Here is a 25,450-nt window from a genome sequence, read left to right as displayed (position 1 = left end):
AAGTGTTGTTTACTTACCACTGTACACAGCTGACCCTGGCTGGTGGCCTTGTTTCCCAAGGGTAGTGAAGGACCTTGATTATGAAATGTGAGAGTGTCTCCTTGGCCAGTACTTATTGGGGCTCTGCCTGGTGCCCCAGTCCTTGTGGCCCTGCCTTGTCAGTCACCTTCTTACACAGAACAGAACTTCAGGAAAGGCCTCTGGTCTTGGAGCCATCTTTGTTGGCAGCAATATGCCTGTTGTTCAAGTCACCAAGGCCTCGTCTAGACCCAGCGCCTCCCTCGCGCCCGAGCCTCATGCTGGGATTCCAAGTCTGAGTTGCTCAGTGTTCAATCCACCCCAGCACCCCCATATTCCAGCTCAGTGTCCCAAAATGTGTCAGAAGCTTGCAAAGACTGACCTCCCCCTGCGTAGGGGTGAATACATCTGGTGACACGGGGTTGGGATTGAGTGAAGGGAACAGGGTGAATCCTCTAAAGAGACCACAAGCATCAGAAACGCTTTCTGGCCTCTCCTTTCTGAAATGGGGCTGAGGAAAGGAGAGGCTGTAGCTTCCATGGGGAGTCTACAGCAACCAAGGAAGAACCCCCTTCCCCTTACACACACACCCAAGATGCACGTGACGGTGGTGCGTTTTTCATACTCACTCAATTGTCAGAAGAGACCTGTGACCCTCTGTACCTCTGAGAGGCCTGGGGAGACACACACAGGAGACTATAAGCCCGGACGGGAAAGGAGAGGTGCAGAGAGAGATGGATGAAGGGCTCTGGAAGGCCAAAGGAGGGAAAGGGTGCTTTCCCTTAAGTGGGAGAAACGTCCTCTGGCTCAGAGGTTGAGGGGAGGCTGTGGGTAGGGAGAGGTAGGTTAAAGATGGATAAATTCAGAAGATGCCGGAGGTGACTCCCAGAGGAGTCAGATGATTGAAAAGTAAGGAAAGGATAAAATCCCTTATTCCATGGGGCAGTCCCATCCCAGCTGGACATTCCCAAGACTCCCAGGAAGGATCTGGGAAGGGAGGGCCTGAGAAGCTGCAGCTCTGCTGAGCGCCGCTGTGTTGCACTGCTGGGTCCCATCTCTGCAGGTTCTGCAGCCCTTTCTCGTAAGGGTTGGATGGCAGGTGGGTGGTGAGTGAGGACTCGGAGCCTGACCACCACTTGTGTTCACATCACAGCTCCTCCGTTTGCTGACTGCCACATTGGACAGGAGACTTAATGCTGTGTGTTCCCTTTAAAATGGGAACAGTCATAGAATTGCTGTGATTCACAAGTAAAAAGTGGAAAGTCCTGAGAACAGTGCTTGGCACAAAGCAGGTGCTATCCAGATGTCAGCTGGTAGCCATTATTTTTGAATAATAAAAAAATGTATTTATGGTAAACTCCAAGGACCACTAGGACTGTTCGACACTACTGAAACTCGGCTTCCACATAATATTCTCTAAAATATTTGAGTAACTATTCAGATATAAGCTAAAACTTTTAAGTTTGAAAACAAAGTTCTGTGTTTTGATCCATGTGTATTTGATTTTTTTTCAGCGTTCCCCTTTCCTCAGAGGTTTTTTGGTTTTATGATTTTTTTTTTTTTTTGGAACAGGGTCTTGCTCTGTCGCCCCAGCTGGAGTGCAGTGGTGCCATCTTGGCTCACTGCACCCTCTGCCTCCTGAGTTCAAGCGATCCTCCTGCCTCAGCCTTTCCAGTAGCCGAGATTACAGGCGCACACCACCACGCCCAGCTATATTTTTGTATTTTTGGTAGAGACAGAGTTTCGCCATGTTGCTCAGGCTGGTCTCGAACTCCTGGGGTCAAGTGATCCGCCCACCTTGGCCTCCCAAAGTGCTGGGATTATAGGCATGAACTACCACGACTAGCCTCAGAGTTTTATTGAAATAATTTACAAATAACTTATCACCCAAGCATCTTCTACTTAGTATTACCATATTAATCTTCCCAGAAACCAGTTCCAATTTATTGAACATGTTTACATACATTTTTTAATTTTTTACCCAGCTTTACTAAGGTAAATTGACAAATAAAAATTATATTTATTTATGGTTTATATGTTTTGATGTATATATGCATTCTGAAATGATTAATTCAAGCTAATTAACACACCATCATCTCACACACTTGTTTTTTTTGTGATAAGAACATTTAAGATCTCATTGTTTAGCAACTTTCAGGAAATGTTCAATAAAATATGAATGAAAAACAATTCTACACCAGTTCCTAAATGACGGGCACTGTTGTAAGCCCCTTTGAATCTCACAGCCATCATCCTATGAGCAGGGTGACCATGCTATTGATTGTAAATGAGGGGCACTTTGGAGAATAAAAGGGAACCCTAAATGGGTGGGATGCCAGGATAACAATGTAAACCAGGCCTGTCCTGAGCAAACTGGATGTGTGATCACCACCCTGTGAAGTGGGCAGATCATTTCACCCCAGCTACAGGAGAAAGGACACAGAGATTCCATAGAACTTTTTGGGACACAGCTGGGAAGTGGCAGAAACAGGATATGAAGCCAGGTGTTCTGCCTCCACAAGCTGCTGTCAACACTATTTCCCTCCTTGGCTGGACACTGAGAAGCCTGCACACCATGGTTCAGGTGGATCCTGGTGACCTTGACACCCACTGCTGCCCTGTGGGAACTCCGTGTGGATTTCTGCACAAGACCCGCAGTTTTCTGCTTGAGAAATTATTGAAATAATTTACGTTTACTTTGCAATTTTACCTTACAGTAATTGAACAATTTTACTCTGCTCCCTGTGGTCTCCACTGCCTTGCCTTAGTCACTCTGGGTTGAAACGCTTCATTCATTCTGGAAGCCACATCAAAGCAGCTCACACCTTGTGTTCTTTGCTGGCCCCTCCAACTCCCTGGATCTCCCCTTTCCCAGGGACCTGTGGCTCTCCGTGGGCAGCTCCGACCTGACATCCCCTGGAGCTGACCTGTCCTCTCTGTTCATGCTCCTGGAGAACATGGCCTCTCTGCATGTCCTGCTTCTGTATGACAACATCATACAATAAGTGCTTAATCAATAATTTTGTAATTTATTTTCTGGGCCAAAATTTGGTGCTTTACAAGAGTTCACTGATGATATCTCTCATGTTTTAGTACAAGGTCTATCTAAAAAGAGGCACTCATTGACATTTGAATCTTTAGTAAAGGCAGGGATTACACACAACACTAACCACACATCTGGGTGACATCCTGGGCACTAACACTAATGTTGTACTTTCTTGGATGAGGGCTTTGGGGTCAGGGTGGGAGGAGACAGGCAAGGGAAGGAGGTAGTTGGAGGCTGTGCCAGCTTGGGGTGGGGCCACCTCAGTGTTCCTTTTTTTTTGAGACAGAGTCTCACTCTGTCACCCAGGCTGGAGTTCAGTGGCTCAATCTCCATCTCAGCTCACTGCAACCTCCGCCTCCTGGATTCAAGCGATTCTCATGCCTCAGCCAAGTAGCTGGGAATACAGGTGTGCACCACCACGGCCAGCTAATTTTTGTATTCTTAGTAGAGATGGGGTTTTGCCATGTTGGTCAGTCTGGTCTTGAACTCCTGACCTCAAGTGATCCACCCACCTCGGCCTCCCAAACTGCTGGGATTACAGGCATGAGCCACCACGCCAGCCCAGTGATCTGTTTCTCAAAAAATGACGATTACCACGATATGATCTGACCTGGATTCATCTAATGAGTTGGGAGATGGAGCTGGATTAGGAAGCAGAGCCGAGGTCAGGTGTCAGCCCCTGGCTAATTCTCCTTGGCTCCTTAACCAAAACTATGAACTTTACTTAACTTGACATTTCCCTATAATGTGTGGTGAAAAGCTTAATCCTGTACCCATGTAACAACTGATTTGGTTCATTAGATATTTACACTAACATCTTCTCCATTAAGTTCATGACTTTTTTTTCTTTTCAATGCCCCATTCGTTTTTCTGGTAACTGTGGTGATCCCAAAGTTGTGAATGCCTGCCTTAGGGCCATTGCAAGAGTCACATAGGAGAACCGACATAAAGTTTTCCACTGTAGAGCAGCGATTGTCAACTAGGGCACACCTACTCCCATCTCCTCCCTATTCCCAAAGACATCAGTCTGGACAGTTTTGGGTGTCACAGCTGGATGGTGGTAGGGTACTATCAGCACCCAGGGGACAGAGGCCAGGGGTACTGCTGAACCTCCTACAATGCAAAGGACAGATCCCACAGAAAAAGGATTACTTACCTTTGATGTCAGTACTGCCAAGTGCTAGAGAAATACCTGCACACATTTGCTCTTGTGATGAATGACCAGTAGCATTCGTGAGCCTCATACTCAGCAAACAGGGAGTGTAGCCCCAGCCTGGCAAGGTGCCAGCAGGAATGTGGGCATCTTTGTCCTCCAGGTGGCTGAGTCAGCCTCATGTCCATGCCTTTGCCCAGGCTGCTCCATGCACCTGGAGGCCCTGCTTCCCCTGCCTGTCATCCTCGTCTTCTAGGTGCTTCATGGTCCAACTCAGCCATCACCTCTTCCACAAGCTTTCCTTTCTATATCCTTGGATTTCTATAGGTTTTTAATTTGCATAATAAGATCTCATCTCAGTGATATACATTGTAACTTTCTTCAGTTCTATATCGTGTCTTCCCATTCAACTTGCTGATTAATTCCTTAAGGAAATTTATGAATCCTTTCAACAAAATGTATCACCCTCCCCCATTTGGTGTGGTGTCGATTCTGCATTGACCTGAGACCTTCTTTCTCTACAGAAGGATTTCCATGTTCCAAATAATCTTTTATTACTGTTCTCTTGATTTATCCACTAACTCCTATTTTCATCACTGTTTACCGAGTCCCATGTCTTTCTCTTTCTTGTTGTACTTGTTTTTGCTGGGGTCTGTCCTCCAGTACCTTTTGGAGAAGAAGTTTATTGGGCATAAAATGTTTGAGGATCTTTATTTTATCTTTGTGTTTGAATGAGTAGGCTGATTACAGATTCATATTTGTATAGAATTAGAGGTTGACAATCCTCTGATTTTTTAGTATTTATCCTCCATCCACCAGTTCTTGTGTTGGTTCCATTATTATTCCCCATCACTGTATGTGCCTCACTGTTTCTTTCTGGGAAAGAAAGACCTTTTCTTAAAGACAATGTTCCAGAATGTTAGCAAAATATTTTTTGGTATGGAAAACAGATGGATGTCTATGGATTTTTCAATACTGTATTTTTTTCTGGGAAATTTTTTGGTATTATTTCCTTGGTGACTTTTTTTTTCTGAGACAGAGTCTTGCTCTGTCATCCCGACTAGAGTGCAGTGGCATGATCTCGGTCCACTGCAACTTCTGCCCCCTGGGCTCAAGTGATCCTCCCACTTCAGCCTCCCCAGTAGCTGGGACTACAGACACGTGCCATCATACCCAGCTAATTTTTGTAGAGATGGGCTTTCACTATGTTGCCCAGGCTGGTCTCAAACTCCTGGGCTCAAGTGGTCTGCCTGCCTTGGCCTCCCAAAGTGCTGGGATTACAAGCATGAGCCACCACAACTGGCCTCTTCGGTGACTTTCTTTCCACCATGATCTCTGTCATTCTGGAATTCTTTCAGTTGGACATAATGGATTCATCCTCCAACCTTCTTTTCTTTTCTCTCATATTTTTTATTGCTTTATCTTTTCCACCACATACATACTGCTTTTCATGACACTATTTTAATTTTTTCTTTCAATTCTATTAATTATTCCAGCTATCATGTTTTAATTTCTCTAAAGTTCTTTGTTGTTGTCTGAATACTTGTTAAACCATAAAACGAAGGAGAGATCTTACTAATCTGGACTTTATAAAGCACTCATGAAACTTACCCATGACATAAAACATCTGTCAGACCCAGAGAAACTGAATGAATTACAAAATAGTGTGTAAATTAAGAACTTTATTTCCTTTTCTCTTCTCTTTTTCTAGCCCCTAAGCTGTTAGAAAACAGCTGAGAGAAAAAAAGTGAAAGAATAAGGATAGAAAGGAAAACACATATTTTTTAACAATGTGAAGCTTAGATTATTATACAGACTTGAATATTCCGATTTCTGAATTGAAATGTTGAGCTTTATTTCATAAAAAAATGGAGATTCATTGAAGGTTCACTTTAATGAAGCTTATGACAAAATGAGAGCTTTGTGTTCAGAATATTGAGCTTGTCATAAAGTGTCAGATGGATCACAGGAAGAAGACATTTGAGGAAAAGAGCCTAGGCAGAGATTGATAATATTTGTGCAGGAGGCAAATTATGAGACTTTACTTAGCTTGGAGGTTATGGGAGAGGCTTTAAGGGATAAAGTCAACAGACCCTGCATGAGTGAATTCTATGTCCCTGGCAAACCTCAATCTCAGCTTTTTGAATGAGAGTTTCTTAAAAATTAGCAATATCTTCAACAAAGAAGACATCCAGCAGGTGAATCAATGAGAGCATGGACACCTAGAGAAGTGCTGACTTTGGAATGCTGACAGGTCCAGGGGGTAAAACACAGGCCTAGCTCCCTTTTGCAGGTATCTTCCTGCTGCCCCTCAGGCAATGGCAGCCCTTGCAGTATTTTTTTGTATTGTGGTAAAATAAGCAAAAAATGTTCATTTCAGCTATTTTTAAGTGTACAGTTCAGCAGCCTTAGGAGCATTTATGATGCCTTTGAAATATTCATTTTCATTGTCGTTATCCCAAACAGAAACTCTGTACCCCTTAAACAATGACTCTCGATACCCTCCCTCCCTGCCCCAGCCTGAGCAGTCTTGCTGGATCTCACTTCACACTCTTTTGTTTTTTGTGATTGTTATTGTTGTTGTTGAGACGGAGTCTCGCTCTGTCGCCAGGCTGGAGTGCGTGGTGATCTCGGCTTACTGCAACCTCTGCCTCCCAGGTTCAAGCAATTCTCCTGCCTCAGCCTCCTGAGTAGCTGGGACTACAGGCGTGCGCCACCATGCCCAGCTAATTTTTGTAATTTTGGTAGAGACAGGGTTTCACCATGTTGGCCAGGATGGTCTCTTGACCTCGTGATCTGCCTGCCTCAGCCTCCCAAAGTGCTGGGATTACAAGCGTGAGCCACCGTGCCCGGCCTTCACACTCTTTTAACAGCAGCTCAGGAAGGAAACTTAACCTTATGTGACCCCCATGTGATTAGAGTGAGCACCTTGAAATCCCCAGGCTTTAAAGACTATGGAAGTAGCTAAGGGAAAGGCCTCAAGGTAACAGCCGGGTGATGTCCGGAGTCCTGTGAGTATCATGGGGGACTCCTGTCCCAGCTACTCCCTCCCCAGTTCACTGGATGCCTGCACCTATAAGAGCGGGAGGTCCAAGACCAGGGACTGCATGGACTCTATTTGCACACAAATACACACGTGCACCCCGGATGGAGCCTGGACACTGATTGCTTTTGACAGCTTCCCAGTGAATTCTAAAACAGAGCCAGTGTTGAGGGGCACTGGGTAGAGCATTTGTCATTCTCAGGTTCATTAGTGGGAACAATCTCAGACCTTCTTGGGAACTAGTGAGGACTAAGTCATACAGAACTTGGAAGGCTTCTGGCAAAACGCATATTAGGGTGCTCAATAAACAGAAAGGTATTAATTGTAAGCATTATAGTAAAGATTGCTAAGATTTGTTGAATGCTTTCTAGTATTCATGTAATATGTTCTTATCACAATGCTATGATATGTGTCCTGTATCACAGGAAGAAAAAGTGATGATAAAACAGGGATATCCATCAGAGTGAACTGGCAAATTTTTGCAATCTAGCCATCTGACGAAGGGCTAATATCCAGAATCTACAAAGAACTTAAACAAATTTACAAGAAAAAAAATCAAAAAGTGGGCAAAGGATATGAACAGACACTTCGCAAAAGAAGACATTTATGCAGCCAACAAACATACGAAAAAAGGCTCATCATCACTGGTTATTAGAGAAATGCAAATCAAAACCACAGTGAGATACCATCTCACGCCAGTTAGAATGGCAATCATTAAAAAGTCAGGAAACAACAGATACTGGAGAGGATACGGAGAAAGAGGAATGCTTTTACACTGTTGGTAGGAGTGTAAATTAGTTCAACTATTGTGGAAGACAGTGTGGTGATTCCTCAAGGATCTAGAACCAGAAATACCATTTGACCCAGCAATTGCATTACTGGGTATATACCCAAAGGATTATAAATCATTCTACTATAAAAACACATGCACATGTATGTTTACTATGGCACTGTTCACAATAGCAAAGATTTGGAACCAACCCAAATGTCCATCAATAATAGACTGGATAAAGAAAATGTGGCACACATGCACCATGGAATACTATGCAGCCATAAAAAGGATGAGTTCATGACCTTTGCAGGGACATGGATGAAGCTGGAAACCATCTTTCTCAGCAAACCAACACAAGAACAGAAAGCCGAACACCGCATGTTCTCACTCATAATTGGGAGTTGAACAATGAGAACACATGGCCACAGAGAGGGGAACATCACACACCAGGGCCTGTCAGGAGTTGGGGGGCTACTGCAGGGATAACATTAGGAGAAATACCTAATGTAGATGACGGGTTGATGGGTGCAACAAACCACCATGGCACATGTATACCTATGTAACAAACCTGCACGTTATGCCATGTATCCCAGAACTTAATGTATAATTTAAAAAAAACAGATATCTATGCATGTGAATGCACGTGTGTGTAAAGATTTGATGTAATATGTGAGTATCCAAGAAAGCTTTACAGAGGAGAAGTGGATTCTAAAGATGGGGTTGTCAGATGTCATAGGAACAAAAAGCTATAGAGGGAAAGGGAAACCCATATACCCTGGTGCAAGGGTGTGACTCATGTGAGGCCTAAGAAATGAAATATAAACAGCAATGGCTGAGCATGGAGCACCTGGGAGAAAGGAGAGGAAGGGACAGGGGCTGGCAGGAAAAGGGCCTTGGAAGTCCTTGTGTGCAACATAAGGGTGTGGACTTGCTCCCCCGGCAGTGGTTCCTTCTAGGTGTCTCTGAGTGCTGGAAGAACTCCATGAATCCTTGTTTCCAGCACACATAGTGTGTAGTAGGCTGAACTGGTCATGAGTTTCACACATTAGGTTCTACTTCTAAGTGTACATATTTCCTGATGTGATTAAAAATACAAATTTCCCTTAAGATCAATGCTTACCTAATAATAACTGTTATCGACCAGGCACAGTGGCTCATGCCTGTAATCCCAGCACTTTGGGAGGCCGAGATGGGCGGATCACCTAAGGTCGGGAGTTTGAGACCAGCCTGACCAACATGGAGAAACCCCGTCTCTACTAAAAAAACCCAAAAAATTAGCTGGGCGTGGTGGTGCATGGCTGTAATCCCAACTACTTGGGAGGCTGAAGCAGGAGAATTGCTTGAACCTGGGAACCAGAGGTTACAGTGAGCTGAGATCGTGCCATTGCACTCCAGCCTGGGCGACAAGAGCGAAACTCTGTCTCAAATAATAATAATAATAATAATAATAATTGTCATCTACTATTTTCTCCACTGTATAAAAATAACCACTATTTATGAAAGTGTGTTTTCAGTATTGTGTTCCCTTACTTGAAACCCTTGAGAACAAGTGCCTTCTGGTCATGCAGGGTTGTTGAACAGATGATAGTGTCACATTTCAGTTTTAGGGGGCTCACTTTGGCGTGAATGAGGAGGATGTATTACAGGAAGCGTTCTCGGAGGCTGCAAGACAATTTAGGGACTTAGTCTGAGCTGGGAAGGATGTGGACTGGGCTGTGATGTGACGTCTGATGGGAATGGAGCGACTCTTAGAGGTGATGCTGTGGCCATGGAGGGAATAGAATGTAGAGCACTGTTAGGGCGCAGGAGGGAGGGGAGCTGTGGTTGGCTGATTCTTGCCCCCATTCCCCCAAAGATATCTACTTCCTAATCCCTGGAATCTGTGAATGTTCCGTTACATGATCCAAAAACAGCACTTTGCAGATGTGATGAAGGTAAGGGTCATAAGATGGGAAGATTGTTTTGAATATTCTGGTGGTGCCTAAACTCAAACCCTATATTTTGTAATTATAAGTCGCAGCGGGGAGCGTTAACCTGGAAGAAAAAGGAGATGAGAATGTATCATGGAGGCAGAGGTTGGAGTAATGTGGCCACAGGACCAGGACGGTCAGCAGCCCAGAAGCCAGAAGCAGCCCTTAGTGAACTCTCCCTGAGAGCCCCCAGCGCAAGTGGAGCCCTCCTGCCTCCAACCTCCTGAGCGTGATACTAATGTTGGGCTTCTGACCCCCAGACATGCAAGAGAATCAGTTGGTGTTTTGTTTTTTGAAGGGGTGGGTTGCCCCTCCACACCTGTGGGTGTTTCTCGTAAGGTGGAACGAGACACTTAGGAAAGAAAAAGACAAAGAGACAAAGTATAGAGAAAGAAATAAGGGGACCCGGGGAACCAGCGTTCAGCATATGGAGGATCCCGCCAGCCTCTGAGTTCCCTTAGTATTTATTGATCATTCGTGGGTGTTTCTCTGAGAGGGGGATGTGTCAGGGTCACAAGACAATAGTGGGGAGAGGTTCAGCAGACAAACACGTGAACAAAGGTCTTTGCATCATAGACAAGGTAAAGGATTAAGTGCTGTGCTTTTAGATATGCATACACATAAACATCTCAATGCTTTACAAAGCAGTATTGCTGCCCGCATGTCCCACCTCCAGCCCTAAGGCAGTTTTGCCCTATCTCAGTAGATAGAACGTACAATCAGGTTTTATACCGAGACATTCCATTGCCCAGGGACGGGCAGGAAACAGATGCCTTCCTCTTGTCTCAACTGTAAGAGGCATGCCTTCCTCTTATACTAATCCTCCTCAGCACAGACCCTTTACGGGTGTCGGGCTGGGGGATGGTCAGGTCTTTCCCTTCCCACGAGGCCGTATTTCAGACTATCACATGGGGAGAAACCTTGGACAATACCTGGCTTTCCTAGGCAGAGGTCCCTGCGGCCTTCCGCAGTTTTTGTGTCCCTGGGTACTTGAGATTAGGGAGTGGTGATGACTCTTAAGGAGCATGCTGCCTTCAAGCATCTGTTTAACAAAGCACATCTTGCACTGCCCTTAATCCATTTAACTCTTGAGTTGACACAGCACATGTTTCAGAGAGCACGGGGTTGGGGGTAAGGTTATAGATTAACAGAATCTCAAGGCAGAAGAATTTTTCTTAGTACAGAACAAAATGGAGTCTCCTATGTCTACTTCTTTCTACACAGACACAGTAACAATCTGATCTCTCTTGCTTTTCCCCACAGTTTTTGTTTTGTTTTGTTTTCTTGAGACGGAGTCTCACTCTGTCGCCAGGCTGGAGTGCCGTGGCACGATCTCGGCTCACTGCAACCTCCGCCTCCCAGGTGCAAGTAATTCTCCTGCCTCAGCCTCCTGAGTAGCTGGGACCACAGTTTTGCGCCTCTATGCCCAGCTAATTTTTGTATTTTTAGTAGAGACGGGGTTTCACCATGTTGGCCAGGATGGCCTCGATCTCTTGACCTTGTGATCTGCCTGCCTTGCACTCCCAAAGTGCTGGGATTACAGGTGTGAGCCACCCCACCCAGCCGAATCAGTTGTTTTAAGTCACCAAGCTTGTGGAGGTTTTTTGCAGCAGACACAGAACACCAAGCCAGGAACCTGTGGCGTCTCCCTGTGTCCTGGTCAGGGGACTTGCTGGGTGGGTGCCTTAGCCTGGATGGGCTCATGGAAGGGAGAGCAGGTTGAGGGCGGACCCTGTGTTCAGTTTTACATCCTGCTCCTGAAATGAGTGTGGAATGTGCGCTTGGAGCTGTCCAATTGGCAGGGGGTGCTGGTCTCTGGAGCTCTTGGGGTGGCTTGAGGGAGGGAAGGAAGCATTCACCTCAGGTGCTGGTGAGTGATGCAGACGCTGAGGAGTCCTCTGAGTGTGGGGAGTGAACAAATGTGAAATCCAGGTTGAAACCTGGAGATGTCCTCAAATTATGGTAAATGGAAAAGAAAGTATACTGGACATGAGAGGGGAGATAAACCACAGTGCAGAGGTGGCACCAAGCAGGCTGACTGTGGGTCTGAGGGGACATCCACTAGGGTCCCTGCTAGGTGGGAACCCTGGGCCTGGACAATCAGGCAGGCTTGGGGTTCCCTCAGTACAAGACCAGCAGGAACATTGTAATTCCTGTGTCCTCATTACCATGGTTTTCATTTACGGCTGCAGGATGGAAAATCTGTAAGGAATGCAGGATGATTCCTACCAAATATTTCCTTCTGGGATGCCTGGACTCAGGCCCCATTGATAACGGGATGCTGGTTCTCTGGAGTTGATTGTCAGCCAAAGGCCACTCCCCTATGGAAACCACTCTCAACTCAAGGCCCAAGACTGCAGGATAACACGACCAGTGGAGAAGTTCAGGGCAAGTGATTTATTAGAGCAAGACGTTGAAACCTTTACATTCTGCAGTGAAGATCAGGGTATCATTGAAAGATGGTGGAAACTAGCATTAAAAACTTTTTACATCTCAGCGATCACATTTCTCTGCTATTTTTCCCTGAAATAGAAAAGGAAAGAAAGGAAGGTGAGGTCGGTCATGCAGCTCCTGGAGACAACAGGTTAACATCCAAGTGGCCGATGGAATTCTGCTCCCAAAGACAATTGAAGGGTAGAGGCAGGAACCCAGTGTGTGTGGGAAACCAGGGCCTAGACCTAGACCAGCCTTTCCTTGCCAGGCCAATAGCCCTGGGGGGACACAAGCATAAGGCCCAGGGTCCTCATAGAGGGGGGACAGAGCAGAGCAGCAAGAGGTTATTGTCTGGGCTGTCCCAGGACTTGGAGTCTCCTGTTCCCCGCAATGAAAGACCCAGTGCTGAGAGGTTGGTCAGGGCTGGGAGGGCCTCTGGGAAGCTTGGCTTCCAGGAGACTCCAGCCTCCCCATGTGGGAATTCTGCCTCAGGGCCTGAGCACCTCAATCCTGAGCCTGCAGCTTCCATGAGCATTTGCAGCTAAACCTCAGGACAGCAACCCAGAGGCAGCCAGGCTGAGAGGCCCCTGGAAAACCTCTGATTTCTTGAGAAAGACAGAGTGAGAACATCCCGCTTCCATGGCACTGCAGGAGGTAGAGTAGCGAGGGTCTTGGCCCACTGGCCGTGGTCAGGAGAGCATCGTGGGTGAGGAGGGGAGCGTGGAGTCTGAGGAGCTGGGAGGGGCTCCTTCCTGGTTCTGCAGAAGCTGCAGAGAAGTCCAGCCCTCCAGCGCAGCATCTGCAGGAGCCCCTGCTCTAGGTCCCTCCCTGCCTTCTTCTCCCTGTTCAAGGCTCCCACACTCCCCAGTACATTCCACAGTGACTGTGTGAGGTCCACTTGGCCTCAGGAAAGTCCCCAGGTGGAGAGACAGTTGTGCTTGGCCCTTCACCACCCCTGCCTGGACCCAGGCTCACTCCCCATGTCCTCAGCACACTCTGGGGACACGGCATCCAGGTAGGTGACCTGAGAAGGAGGAACATGCAGGAGGCTGTGTGCAGCTGAGTTGAATTCTGCAGGTGAAATGGTAGCACCCACCCTGTGGTCCCAGGTGACCTTCTCAAGCGGTGACCAGTAAGGCAGGTGCCCCACCACCTGTGTCCCTCACAGAGCAGCAAGCAAGCTGACCTCACTTCACACTGTGCCGCTGACCAGAAGCCTGGACACATGAAAGAGACAGAAATTACCAATGTTTTTGTAATTAGCACTCTTTTCTCATAGGCCATCGTATCCACGCATTTCTTCACTTCCATCTTGGCTGCAACAGCTTCCAGAGGTGCCTTAAATTTGGCAAGTTGGAACTTGAACACAGGTTTTCCAGCTAATAAGAAGCCTGTGATTTCAGAACCAAGAGCTTGGCAGACCACTGCATTTGCTGGAGCAAAAGAATAAAAATATAATTTGTGTAAGGAAATCAGTGTTTCTCCCATGCCTCCCTGATGTCAGACCAGACAGGAACCCCAGGGTTTTAGGCTTCTATTCAATAACTATGCCAATGACAATGTCAGACCCAGGAGGTTGTGACTTCCTTGAGGTCACACAGCAAAGGGTAGAGCTAGAACTGGAGAACCAACTTCCTGATCACTCATTCAGTCTTTGTTTTTTTTTTAAAGCACACTCATTACTTTCCAAAGCTTCTCTGGATGGATGGCCAACGTTCTCTTTTCTAGATTTGAAAATAATCACTTTTCTATGCCAGTTAAGTGACACTTTATTAGTCTTGGACATTGGTGAAGAGGAGGCTTTGAGTAATCAAATTTTGAAGTGGAATGGTAGAGTCAGAATCCTATCAGAAATTAGAGAAATGAGTAAATCTGGAACAGAAGAAGTTAAAATTATTGAAATGTTGAAGGTGATGTTTTGAGAACAAGTTGTAGAATTTAGGCTTATGTGATTCAATACAGACAGAGCTAAAAGGTAAACAAATTAAAACAAAATAAAATAATGTGAATCAGTTTTAACACACATTAGAAGCTTATACAGGAAATTGTACTTGGCCCATATTCTGCAGCAGCATCTAGAATATTTGGAGAGGATGAGAGGAGGGAACTGAGGCTCATTCCTGCTCCCACTGGGAATTTTGGAAAGACCTGGAGTAATCATTTTGCTTGGTCTGGAATCTCCATTCACCTAAGTCTTTTGCAAACACCATGCATCCAGAAAGCGCCCCACCATGCTCAACATGACCCCTGACTACCCGACTTCAAACTGTGGGGAGAATTTGGAGAGGGTAGGATCGGGGTGTCACAGGGAAACAGGGAGAGGTTCAGAAAAGAAGAGGAAAGAGAAAAATCAGAGTCTGGATCGGTCCTGACAGGGGAAAGGAAAGTACCCAAATGAACTGGGGAAAAATCAGCCAGAATTAATTTTAGAAAAATAGAAGTTCTGAGGCTAACCATTGTAGTATTTCTACCACCATTACGGTAGGACCCCTAGAAGATATATTGAGTGCTGCTTATTCTAAGAATTCATTTGCAGGCTTCTTATTGAGAGAATCAGAAAGCACCATCTCTTCTTGGACTGAGAGTTCTCCAAGGATCCTTCGAGATGTAACATTTTATGAGTCTGAATTTACAATGTAAGAAGCTGTGAGCTCAATTGGCACCTAAAGGTCTGGGGACGAGAATGTCTGACAGTACAGTGATTGGCTTCACATCCACAGCTAGACCCTTGGCACAATAATCCCACTCCATTCCCATTGCCACTCCCGGAAGAAGCTCTAAGCACCAGAGATAGGAGGAGGCGCGGGGAGGGTGAGCATCTTGCCCACGGTGAAAGGGCTGAGAAGTGGCTGAGCCCAGAGTCACCCCAGACCTCACATTACATCATCTGACACAGATCCCATCCAAGAGTGAAGCTCAGGCAGAATTCCTAACGTTCGCCTGCATTGATTTTCTGCAAAACTTCCTAGGTACTGGGGATTTGATGAAATGAGGCCCGAGCTTTATGAGCAGTTCCTTCAACAAGCACAGGATAAGGTTTGGAATTTTGGTTTGTTCCAGACCCCAACCTTAACCTTAATAGGTGACCTCGTGCTCAGAGAAGGGTGTGTCCCAAGGGCTGGTGCTGGACTCATGACTGATGTACTCACCCCGGTAGCAGCAAAGGGCCAGCGTGAGCAGCAGGAGACACACCGACAGCCTCATGGTGGCTTATTCTGCTGTGAGCTCGGCTTTAACCAATGATGAGTGATTTAGACTCAGCCCCGGGAGCCTGTGGAGCCGTGGAGCCCAGGGCTATTTGTACCTAGGGAGCCTGGCTGGTCCTGCCCACATGGGCATCTGGCAGGTGATGAGGCCTGGCTTCCAGCCCTCCCTTCCTAGCCAGGGCTGCTGCCATCCATCAGTGTCACATCCCCACACCTCCCTGCATCCTGAGTGGGGCGGAGCACGGGAGGGCAGCCCTGCAGAAACTCTGCTCTGTGCTCCAGGTGAGTGTCCAGGTGCCTCTGGCAATGTTCCCTGGAACCTCAGTTTGCTTTTGGGCTTTTGAGGATTATCTCTCTGTTCTTTATGTCAGTGCAAGGGCAAATGTGAGTTCTCATTTCAGGAGGACAGAAACCGGGGGTGCAGGAAGCTAGGGGCTGTGGTTTGGTTATAGGAGAGCAGGCACAGAAGAGACCCCACTTTGACCTCCACTGCATGTCTGACAATCAGCCACACGTGTTTCAGCTGCACATAGATCAAGTCTGAACCAGACCTATCCTCCCACTCAGCCCCTTCCATCCCCACCATCTTCACCACATAGGTACCTAAAACATAGCTGCATACACCCCACCTTTGGAGGATTTCCTTGGGGAAAACAACCACTCCCCCTGTCCTCTACTCTGTCTCACTCCAAGATCTGTGTCTTTATTTATGGGTGGAGTTGTCAACATAGCACAGGTTCAAATTTTCTGTCTACTAAAAGCAAGCCTCCAGTGACCTCTAGCCACCCATATCTCCTCATAGGGCTGATGGGATGATTAAATTGCCCAACTTTTTTTACCCAAGGAGCTGCTGGGGTGTCTGGAGGCAAACAGGCATCAGAAATACTGGTCTTCGCTTCTAGGCAGGGACGATAATGGAAAGGAAGAGATGGATGAACAGGGTGGGTGGTCACTTCCCTCTAACCTCTGGGCTCAAGTTTTCCACTTCTAACCCAGCTCTGCTGCCTGGGTCATCTCATTGTTGATGGAAAGCGAAGGCCATCCCCAGCAAAAGCAATAGACACCCTTCTGCCCTTCCACTGCAGTGCCATCATTTGGTGAGTAGGAAATCACCAGAAATTTGGCTCTTAAGTGAACACACATTTGAGAACAGTCACAGCCCAGGCCAGAGCTTTCCATTCTCTGCTCTGCAATCAAATCACTTGGGGCTCTTAAACTATACTGACTCCCCGCAGGCTGCTTCCCTTTCTGGGGATTTTGATTCAGTAGTTCTAGGGCGAGGTCCTCTTCTGTTTAAACTGCTCTGGTGGGTCTGATGGGCAGCAGTACTGAGAACCACCCAGAAAGACCTTTATGAAGGAAGCGGACCTTATGGTCTGTGTCATCAGAGACACCTTGGCAGGTCTGGCTGAGTCCCAGCTGAGGGCGACAATGCCTCTCACTTCCATCACCCAAAATGGTGGGGAAGCCCCTGATGCCACCTCTGCCTCCAACCCTAAGGAGTGGAAGGTCCAGTGGCAAAGCCCATGGCTAGGAGGGTTCAGATCCATGTCTATGGGCTATTGAACCCTCTGAAAATTAGTTTATGTAAACACAGTTTTCTCGTTTGTAAAAGTAGGTTAAAAATGGTGCCTACATCATTGGGTTGATAGATGTTCAAATGAGTGTGTGTGTGTGTGTGTGTGTGTAAAATTTACCAGGTCTGGCCAGGCGCAGTGGCTCACACTTATAATCCCAGCACTTTGGGAGGCCGAGGCGGGTGGATCACCTGAGGTCAGGAGGTTGAGACCAGTCTGGCCAACATGGTGAAACCCCGTCTCTACTAAAAATACAAAAAATTAGCTGGGTGTGGTGGCATGTGCCTATAGTCCCAGCTACTCAGGAGACTGAGGCAGGAGAATCTCTTGAACAAGGGAGGCAGAGTTGTGGTGAGCTGAGATGGCACCACTGCACTCCAGCCTGGGCAACAAGAGCAAAACTCCATCTCAAAAAAGAAAAAAAAATTAACAAGGTCTGACATGTAGTAAACGCTCAATAAATGTTGACTACTATTACCTTGTCCCACCTGTCATACATTTCATGGATCATTACCAGTTCCTAGTTTAAAGCACAGCCAACCCCTCAAAAAAAAAAATCACTGATTTTCAGAACTACAATTCATGGGCCACATAAGGACATATTAGTTAATATCAGACCCCACATACAACAGGGGTCCCCTAAAATTATAATACTGTGTTTTTACTGCACCTTTTCTGTTTTGATATGTTTAGATACACAAATACTTGTCATTGTATTACAACTGCCTACAGTGTTCAGAACAGTAATATGCTGTACAGGTTTGTGGTCCAGGAGCAACAGGCTTACCTATTAATAGCTGAGGTGTGCAGTAGGCTATGCCATCTAGGTTTGTATAACTGCATTTTATGATGTTCACACAATGACAATTGCCTATGCATTTCTCAGAATGTGTCCCAGTCACTAAGTGACACACAACTGTCTAAGGAAACCTGGATACACCCCCACTATCTGAAATAAATGGAGGAAACCCAGCTCATGGTCTCTGAGACTGCAGACCCAGGGACACGAATTTAGGTTCTTACAGATGACAGATGGGTGAGGAATTTTCCATAGCTGTTGAACAGAGCTTTCCTGATGTGGGCTTGGCCTTCATCTGTATATTCCATTAGGAAGGATGTGTATATCTGAAAGAGGATTGCTTCCCACATATTTTTATCATTCCTGTAGCTCTTAACATCTGCTCGGGGCTTTTTCTAGTTTTCATAGGTGGTACTTTTGATGACTGCTCTACTCCTTCCCTGGTTGGCTTAAGATCTTCTCATTTTGGCCGGGCATGGTGGCTCACACCTGTAATCCCAGCGCTTTGGGAGGCCAAGGCAGGTGGATCATTTGAGGCCAGGAGTTCGAGACCAGCCTGGGCAACATACAAGACCTTGTCTCTATAAACAATTTTAAAAATTAGCCAGGCATGGTGGTGGGTGCCTGTATTCACAGCCACTAAAGAGGTTGAGGTGGGAGGATTGCATGAGCCCAGGAGTTTCAGGCTACAGTGAGCCCTGATTATGCCACTGCACTCCAGCCTGGGCAACAGAGCAAGAATTTGTCTCTAAAAACATGAAATAAAATAAAATAAACGTTTTTAATGCAAAAAAAAGTATGTGAAGTGATGGATTTGTTAATTAATTTGATTGTATTTGATGTGTGTATTGTAAACATACATCAAAACATTATATTGTATGCCATAAAAATATACAAGTTTAGGTCAGGCTCAGTGGCTCGTGCCTATAATCACAGCACTTTGGGAGACTGAGGTGGGCAGATTACCTGAGGTCAGGAGTTTGAGACCAGCCTGACCAACATAGCAAAACCTTGTCTCTACTAAAAATACAAAAATTAACTAGGTTTGGTGCTGGGTGTCTGTAATCCCAGCTGCTTGGGAGGCTGAGGCAAGAGAATGGCTTGAACCTGGGAGGCGGAGGTTGCAGTGAGCCAAGATCATACCACTGCACTCCAGCCTGGATGACAGAATGAGACTCTGTCTCAAAAAAAAAATTAAAGAAAAATATATATATACAATTATTATTTGTCTATTTAAATTAAAAAAATTGTATGGAGAGAAACATGATGTTAACAATATTCTCTTCAAACAAAGGGCAAAATTCATATAAAAGATAAATCCATGAACATAAATTGGTCATTATTTATAGATAGTTATTCAACTATCAGGGAAATTTAAGACAATCCACTAGAAAAACTGTCAATATTGATTTGCCACCACAGCTGCCAGCATGCATTCACATGAGCACAGATCCTGCTGCCACTGCTCTGATGAAGTGCTTTGGCAGGGTGTTGTTGCCAGCAGACTGGGAACACCTCCACCTCACCAGCACAGCGGGTGCTTAACCTCAAGGGGCCGGAGAACAAAGCAATGGGCCTGGTACCAGGCCTCCAGGGTTAGAGCAAGCAGCCCAGGAGTGCTGAACTGAACTGAACCTTGGCCTTCTGAAATCTTCCAGAAACAAAGCCCAGTCAACTGAACCCAACTGATACCACAGTCAAACCCTCAAGGGCATCAAAGAATGCAAAAGAAAAAAACCGGGCCGGGTGCAGTGGCTCACACCTGTAATCCCAGCATTTTCGGAGGCCGAGGCAGGCGGATCATGAGGTCAAGAGATCAAGACCATCCTGGCTAACATGGTGAAACTTCGTCTCTAATAAAAATACAAAAATTAGCTGGGCGCGGTGGTGCATGCCTGTAGTCCCAGTTACTTTGGAGGCTGAGGCCCATCCAAGGGACAGCAACTTCAAAGATTAAAAGAACATCAGTCCACTCAGATGAGAAAGAATCAGCACAAAAACTCTGGCAACTCAAAAAGCCAGAGTGTCGTCTTACCTCCAAATGACCACACTAGTTCCCCAGCAATGGTTCTTAATCAGCTCTGTGGGAAAGAGAGTTTCTGGGATGCCAGATGAGTTGGTCTCCCCTGTGTGAGACACCCATGGGAAGCCATGGGTGGCCTTTGAGGAGAAAAGTCTCCTTATTGCCTTCATGTCTTTTTGCCCCTAAAGCATAACAGCTCAGCGGCATTCCAGAGGTTGCTTGGGGAGATAACACTCCCTTGAAGCAGTGGAGTATAATCAAACATCTTGGCTCCCCCTGAAACCCACTCCCACCCATTTCATTCCGGATAAGTTAAAGATCTTAAGTAGTTTAGACACACGCCTTTGCTCAAGGAAATTCACAGAAACCGCCACTGCTATACATCTTATTGAACGACGCACGAATTCTCCTTCGTTGATTAATCCTTTTCCTCATCCCTTCCTACCCTTCCCATCTGCCCTAAGAACAAAGAACTTGTAAACCAATAAATTAGGTGGAGCCGAAGAGCTCTGGGCCCTGAGCAAGCCTCTGACGCTCCGGTCCCTTGGACCTGCCTTTTAAAATTTTATTCTGTCTCTTTCTAACTCCTTTGTCTCGGCTGGACTCGGGGTACCCGCCAGGTGGTGTGGGGCTGGTTTCCCCAACAAGCTCAAATGGCTGAAACGACAGACACAGAATTCACAATCTGAATAGGAACGAAGATCAATGACATTCAGGAGAAGGCCAAAACCCAATTCAAGGAATCTAAGGAATCCAATAAAATGAGACAAGAGCTGAAAGAGAAAATAGTCGTTTTAAGAAAGAACCAAACTGATCTGATAGAGCTGAAAAACTCACTACAAAAAATTGTGTAATACAATCGGAAGTATTAACAACAGAATACACCAAGCTGAGGAAAGAATCTCAGAGCTCAAAGAACGATTCTTCAAATCAACTCAGTCAGACAAAAATAAAGAAAAAGGAATAAAAAAGAATGAACAAAACCTCTAAGAAATATGGGATTATGTAAAAAGACCAAACGCACAGCTCACTGGCATCCCTGAAAGAAAAGGGGAGAGAGCAAGCAACTTGGAAAACATTTTTATTTTTTTGAGACAGAGTCTCACTCTGTTGTCCAGGTTGGAGTGCAATGGCATGATCTCAGCTCACTGCAACCTCTGCCTCCCAGGTTCAAGCGATTCTCCTGCCTTAGCCTCCCGAGTAGCTGGGATTACAGGCACTCACCACCACTCCTGGCTAATTTTTTTGTATTTTTAATAGAGACGGGGTTTTACCATGTTGGCCAGGCTGGTCTTGAACTCCTGACCTCAGGTGATCCACCCACCTCGGCCTCCCAAAGTGCTGGGATTATGGGCATGAGCCACCGTGCCTGGCCGGAAAACATATTTGAGGATATTCTCTGCAAAAATTTCTGCAACCTTGCTAAAGAGGTCAACATTGAAATTCAGGAAATGCAGGGAACCCCTGTTAGATGATAGTATACAAGGTGACCATCCTCAAGACTCATAATTGTCAGATTAACCAAGGTTAACATGGAAGAAAAAAAGGCAGCTAGAGAGAAGGGGCAGGTCATCAACAAAGGGAACCTCATCAAGCTAACTGTACCTTTCAGCAAAAACTCTACAAGCCAGAAAAGACTGGGAACCTATATTCAGAATTCTTAAAGAAAATAAATCCCAACCAAGAATTTCATATCCAGCCAAACTAAGGTTCATAAGTGAAGGAGAAATAAGATTCTTTTCAGACAAGCAACTGCTAAGGAAATTTAGTACCACGAGACCTGCCTTACAAGAAGTCCTTAACAGAATGCCAAACATGGAAATGAAAAACCACTACTGGCCACCACAAAAACACACTTAAGTACATGACCATTGACACTATAAAACAATGACACAATCAAGTCTATATGACAACCAGCTAATAACACAATGACAATCAAATCTGCACATATCAATATTAACTTTGAACATAAACAGGCTAAATACTCCAATTAAAAGGCACAGACTGGCAAGTTGGATAAAGAAGAACGACCCAACTGTATGCTGTCTTCAAGAAACTCATCTCATAGGCATGATACCCATAGGCTCAAAGAAATGGAAAAAATCTACCAAGCAAACAGAAAACATAAAAGAGCAGGCATTGCTATTCTAATTTTAGACAAAAAAGGCTTTAAACCAACAATGATCAAAAAAAGACAAAGAAAGCCAGGCACAGTGGCTCACCCCTGTAATCCCAGCACTTTGGGAGGCCAAGGCAGGCAGATCATTTGAGGCTAGGAGCTTGAGACTAGCCTGGCCAACATGGCAAAACCCCATCTCTACTAAAAAAAAAAAATACAAAAATTAGGCCAGGAGCAATAGCCCATGCTTGTAATCTCAGCACTTTGGGAGGCTGAGGTGGGCAGATCACCTGAGGTCAGGAGTTTGAGACCAGCCTGGCCAACATGGTAAAACCCCATCTCTACTAAAAATACAAAAAATTAGCCATGCGTGATGGTGCACACCTGTAATCCCAGCTACTCAGGAGGCTGAAGCATGAAAATCACTTGAACCCTGGAGGTGGCGGTTGCAGTGAGCCAAGATTGTGCCACTGTACCCAAGCCTGAGTGACAGAGTGAGACTCTGCCTAAAAAAAAATACAAAAATTAGCTCGGTGTGGTGGCACACGCCTGTAATCCCAGCTACTTAGTAGGCTGAGGCAGGAGAATCACTTGAGGCAGAGGTCACAGTGAGCCAAGATTGCACCACTGCACTCCAGCCTGGGTAGCAGAGTGGGACTCTGTCTCAAAAAAAAAAAAAAAAAAAAGACAAAGAAGGGCATTACGTAATGATAAAGGGTTCAATTCAACAGGAAGACTTAACTGTCCTACTTATATATGCACCCAACACTGGAGCACCTATTTATACAACAAGTTTTCAGAGACTCACAAAGAGACTTACATAACCACATAATAATAGTGGGAGACTTCAACACCCTACTGACAGTATTAGACAGGTCATCGAAGCAGAAAACTAACAGTGATATTCAGGACCAGAACTCAACACTTGATCAAATAGACCTAACAGACATCTGCAGAACACTCCACCAGAAAACAACAGAATATACATTCTTCTCATCTGCACATGACACATACTCTAAAATTGACCACATGATTGGCCATAAAACAATTCCCAGCAAATTCAAACCAAGTGAAATCGTACTAGCCACACCCTTGAACGACAGTGCAATAAAAATAGAAATCAACACTAAGATCTCTCAACACCATACAATTACATGGAAAGTAAACAACATGCTCCTGAATGACTTTTGGGTAAACAATTAAATGAAGGCAGAAATCAAGAAATTCTTTGAAACTAGTGAAAATGGATAAAACATACCAGAATCTCTGGAACAGAAGTGTTAAGTAAAGAAGTGTTAAAAGGAAAGCTTATAGTGCTAAATGCCCACATCGAAAAGTTAGAAAGATCTCAAATAAAACCTAACGTGATCCCCAGAAGAACTATAAAAACAACAGCAAACCAACCCCAAAGCTGGCAGAAGAAAAGAAATAACCAAATTCAGAGCTGAACTGAATGAAACTGAGATGTGAAAAACCACACAAAAGCTGAATGAAACCAAAATTTCGTTATTTGAAAGAATAAATAAGATTGATAGACTGCTAGCTAGACTAATAAAGAAAAAAGAGAGAAGATCCAAATAAATACAATCGGAAATGACAAAGGGACATTACCACCGACCCCCTCCCCCCGACCCCAACAAAATACAAAAACCCTCAGAGAGTATTACACACCTCTATGCACACAAACTAGAAAACCAAGAAGAAATGGATAAATTCCTGGAAGCATACAACCTCTCAAGATTGAACCAGGAAGAAATTGAAACTCTGAACAGACCAATAACAAGTTCTAGGAGAACTTGTAATAAAAAGCCTACCAACCAGAAAAAGCCCTGGAAAAGATGGATTCACAGCCTAATTCTGTTACACATATAGAGTTGCACCAATCCTATAGAAACTATTCCGAAAAATTGAGGGGAGGGACTCCTCCCCAACTCATTCTATAAGGCCAGAATCATTCCGATACCAAAACCTCACAGAGACACAATGAAAAAAAGAAAACTTCAGGTCAACATTCCTGATGAACATAGATGCAAAATCCTCAACAAAATACTAGCAAACCAAATCCAGCAGCACATCAAAAAACTAACCCACCATGATCAAGTAGGTATTTCCAGGATGCAAGTTTGGTTGAACATATGTAAATCAATACATGTGATTTATCACATAAACAGAACTAAAAACAAAAACCACATAATGACCTCAAAAGAGGCAGAAAAGGCTTCTGATAAAAACCCTCAACAAACTAGGCTTTAAAGGAACATACCTCAAAATAATAACAGCCATCTGTAACAAACCCACAGACAACATACTGAATGGGCAAACACTGTAAGCATTCCCCTTGAGAACCAGAACAAGACAAGGATGCCCACTCTCACCACTCCTATTTAACATAGTACTAGAAGTCCTAGCCAGAGCAATCAGGCAAGAGAAAGAAACTGCATCCAAATAGGAAAAGAGGAAGTCAAACTACCCCTGTTTGCAGATGATTTGATTCTGTACCTATAAAACCCCATAGTCTCTGCCCAAAAGCTCCAATTGCTATTAAACAACTTTAGGAAAGTTTCAGGATACAAAATCAGTGCACAAAAATCAGTAGCATATCTATACACCAATATCGTCCAAGATGAGAGCTAACTCAAAAACACAATCTCGTTCACAATAGCCATCCATAAAAATAAAATACCTAGGAATACAGCTAACCAGGGAGGTAAAATATCTCTACAATGAGAATTATAAAACACCACTGAAGGAAATCAGAGACAACACAAACATATGGAAAAACATTTCATATTCCATATTCATGGATGGAAAGGCTCCATATTGTTAAAATGGCCATACACCCAAAGCAATTTACAGATTCAATGCTATTCCTAGCAAACCACCAATAACATCTTTCACAGAATTGGAAAAAGTTATTCTAAAATTCATATGGAACCAAAAAAGAGTCTGACTAGCCAAAGCAATCCTAAGCAAAAAGAACAAAGCTGGAGACATAACATTACCTACTTCAAACAAGGCTACAGTAACCAAAACAGTCTGGCACTGGTACAAAAACAGACACATAGACCAGTGGAACAGAATGGAGAACTCAGAAACAAAGTCACACACCTACAACCATCGAATCTTAGACAAGGTTGATAAAAACAAGCAAGGAAAAAAGGACTCCCTATTCAATTAATCATGCTGGGATAACTGGTTAGCTATATGCAGAAGATTGAAACGAGACCCTTCCTTTCACCATATGCAAAAGTCAACTCAAAATATATTAAAGACTTAACTGTAAAACCTGAA

General features: G+C 44.9%; 1 protein-coding gene across 1 annotated transcript, besides 1 other annotated feature; it reads right to left on the bottom strand.

The window, feature by feature from the left end:
• Positions 1 to 12,384: 12,384 nt before the first annotated feature.
• SCGB1D1 (secretoglobin family 1D member 1) lies at positions 12,385 to 15,708 on the bottom strand. The gene is made up of 3 exons (NM_006552.2): positions 15,585 to 15,708; positions 13,681 to 13,868; positions 12,385 to 12,525 (listed from the first exon to the last, which is right to left on the bottom strand). Exons 1-3 carry the CDS (start codon positions 15,637 to 15,639, stop codon positions 12,496 to 12,498), a joined length of 273 nt encoding a protein of 90 aa, NP_006543.1. The 5' UTR covers positions 15,640 to 15,708; the 3' UTR covers positions 12,385 to 12,495.
• Positions 13,154 to 13,654: an enhancer, noted in NCBI's record as "H3K4me1 hESC enhancer chr11:61959742-61960242 (GRCh37/hg19 assembly coordinates)". NCBI's record gives its function as "activates a minimal SCP1, AML or CMV promoter by ChIP-STARR-seq in primed H9 embryonic stem cells {active_cell/tissue: H9 hESC(primed)}" and the evidence as "EXISTENCE:reporter gene assay evidence [ECO:0000049][PMID:30033119]".
• Positions 15,709 to 25,450: the final 9,742 nt, after the last annotated feature.

Source organism: Homo sapiens, chromosome 11 (genome assembly GCF_000001405.40).
Source record: "Homo sapiens chromosome 11, GRCh38.p14 Primary Assembly".
Lineage (NCBI taxonomy): Eukaryota > Metazoa > Chordata > Mammalia > Primates > Hominidae > Homo > Homo sapiens.
This window is presented reverse-complemented; position numbering and strand designations above follow the sequence as displayed.

Bases quoted from the DNA above. Each gene is read 5' to 3' on its own strand.
- SCGB1D1 (NM_006552.2), bottom strand. From the start codon at position 15,639: ATGAGGCTGTCGGTGTGTCTCCTGCTGCTCACGCTGGCCCTTTGCTGC. The intron at 13,869-15,584 runs GTGAGTACATCA...CTTTTGCTCCAG, and splicing joins GGCCCTTTGCTGCTACCGGG to CAAATGCAGTGGTCTGCCAA. The intron at 12,526-13,680 runs GTAATTTCTGTC...TTTCTATTTCAG, and splicing joins TGCTAATTACAAAAACATTG to GGAAAAATAGCAGAGAAATG.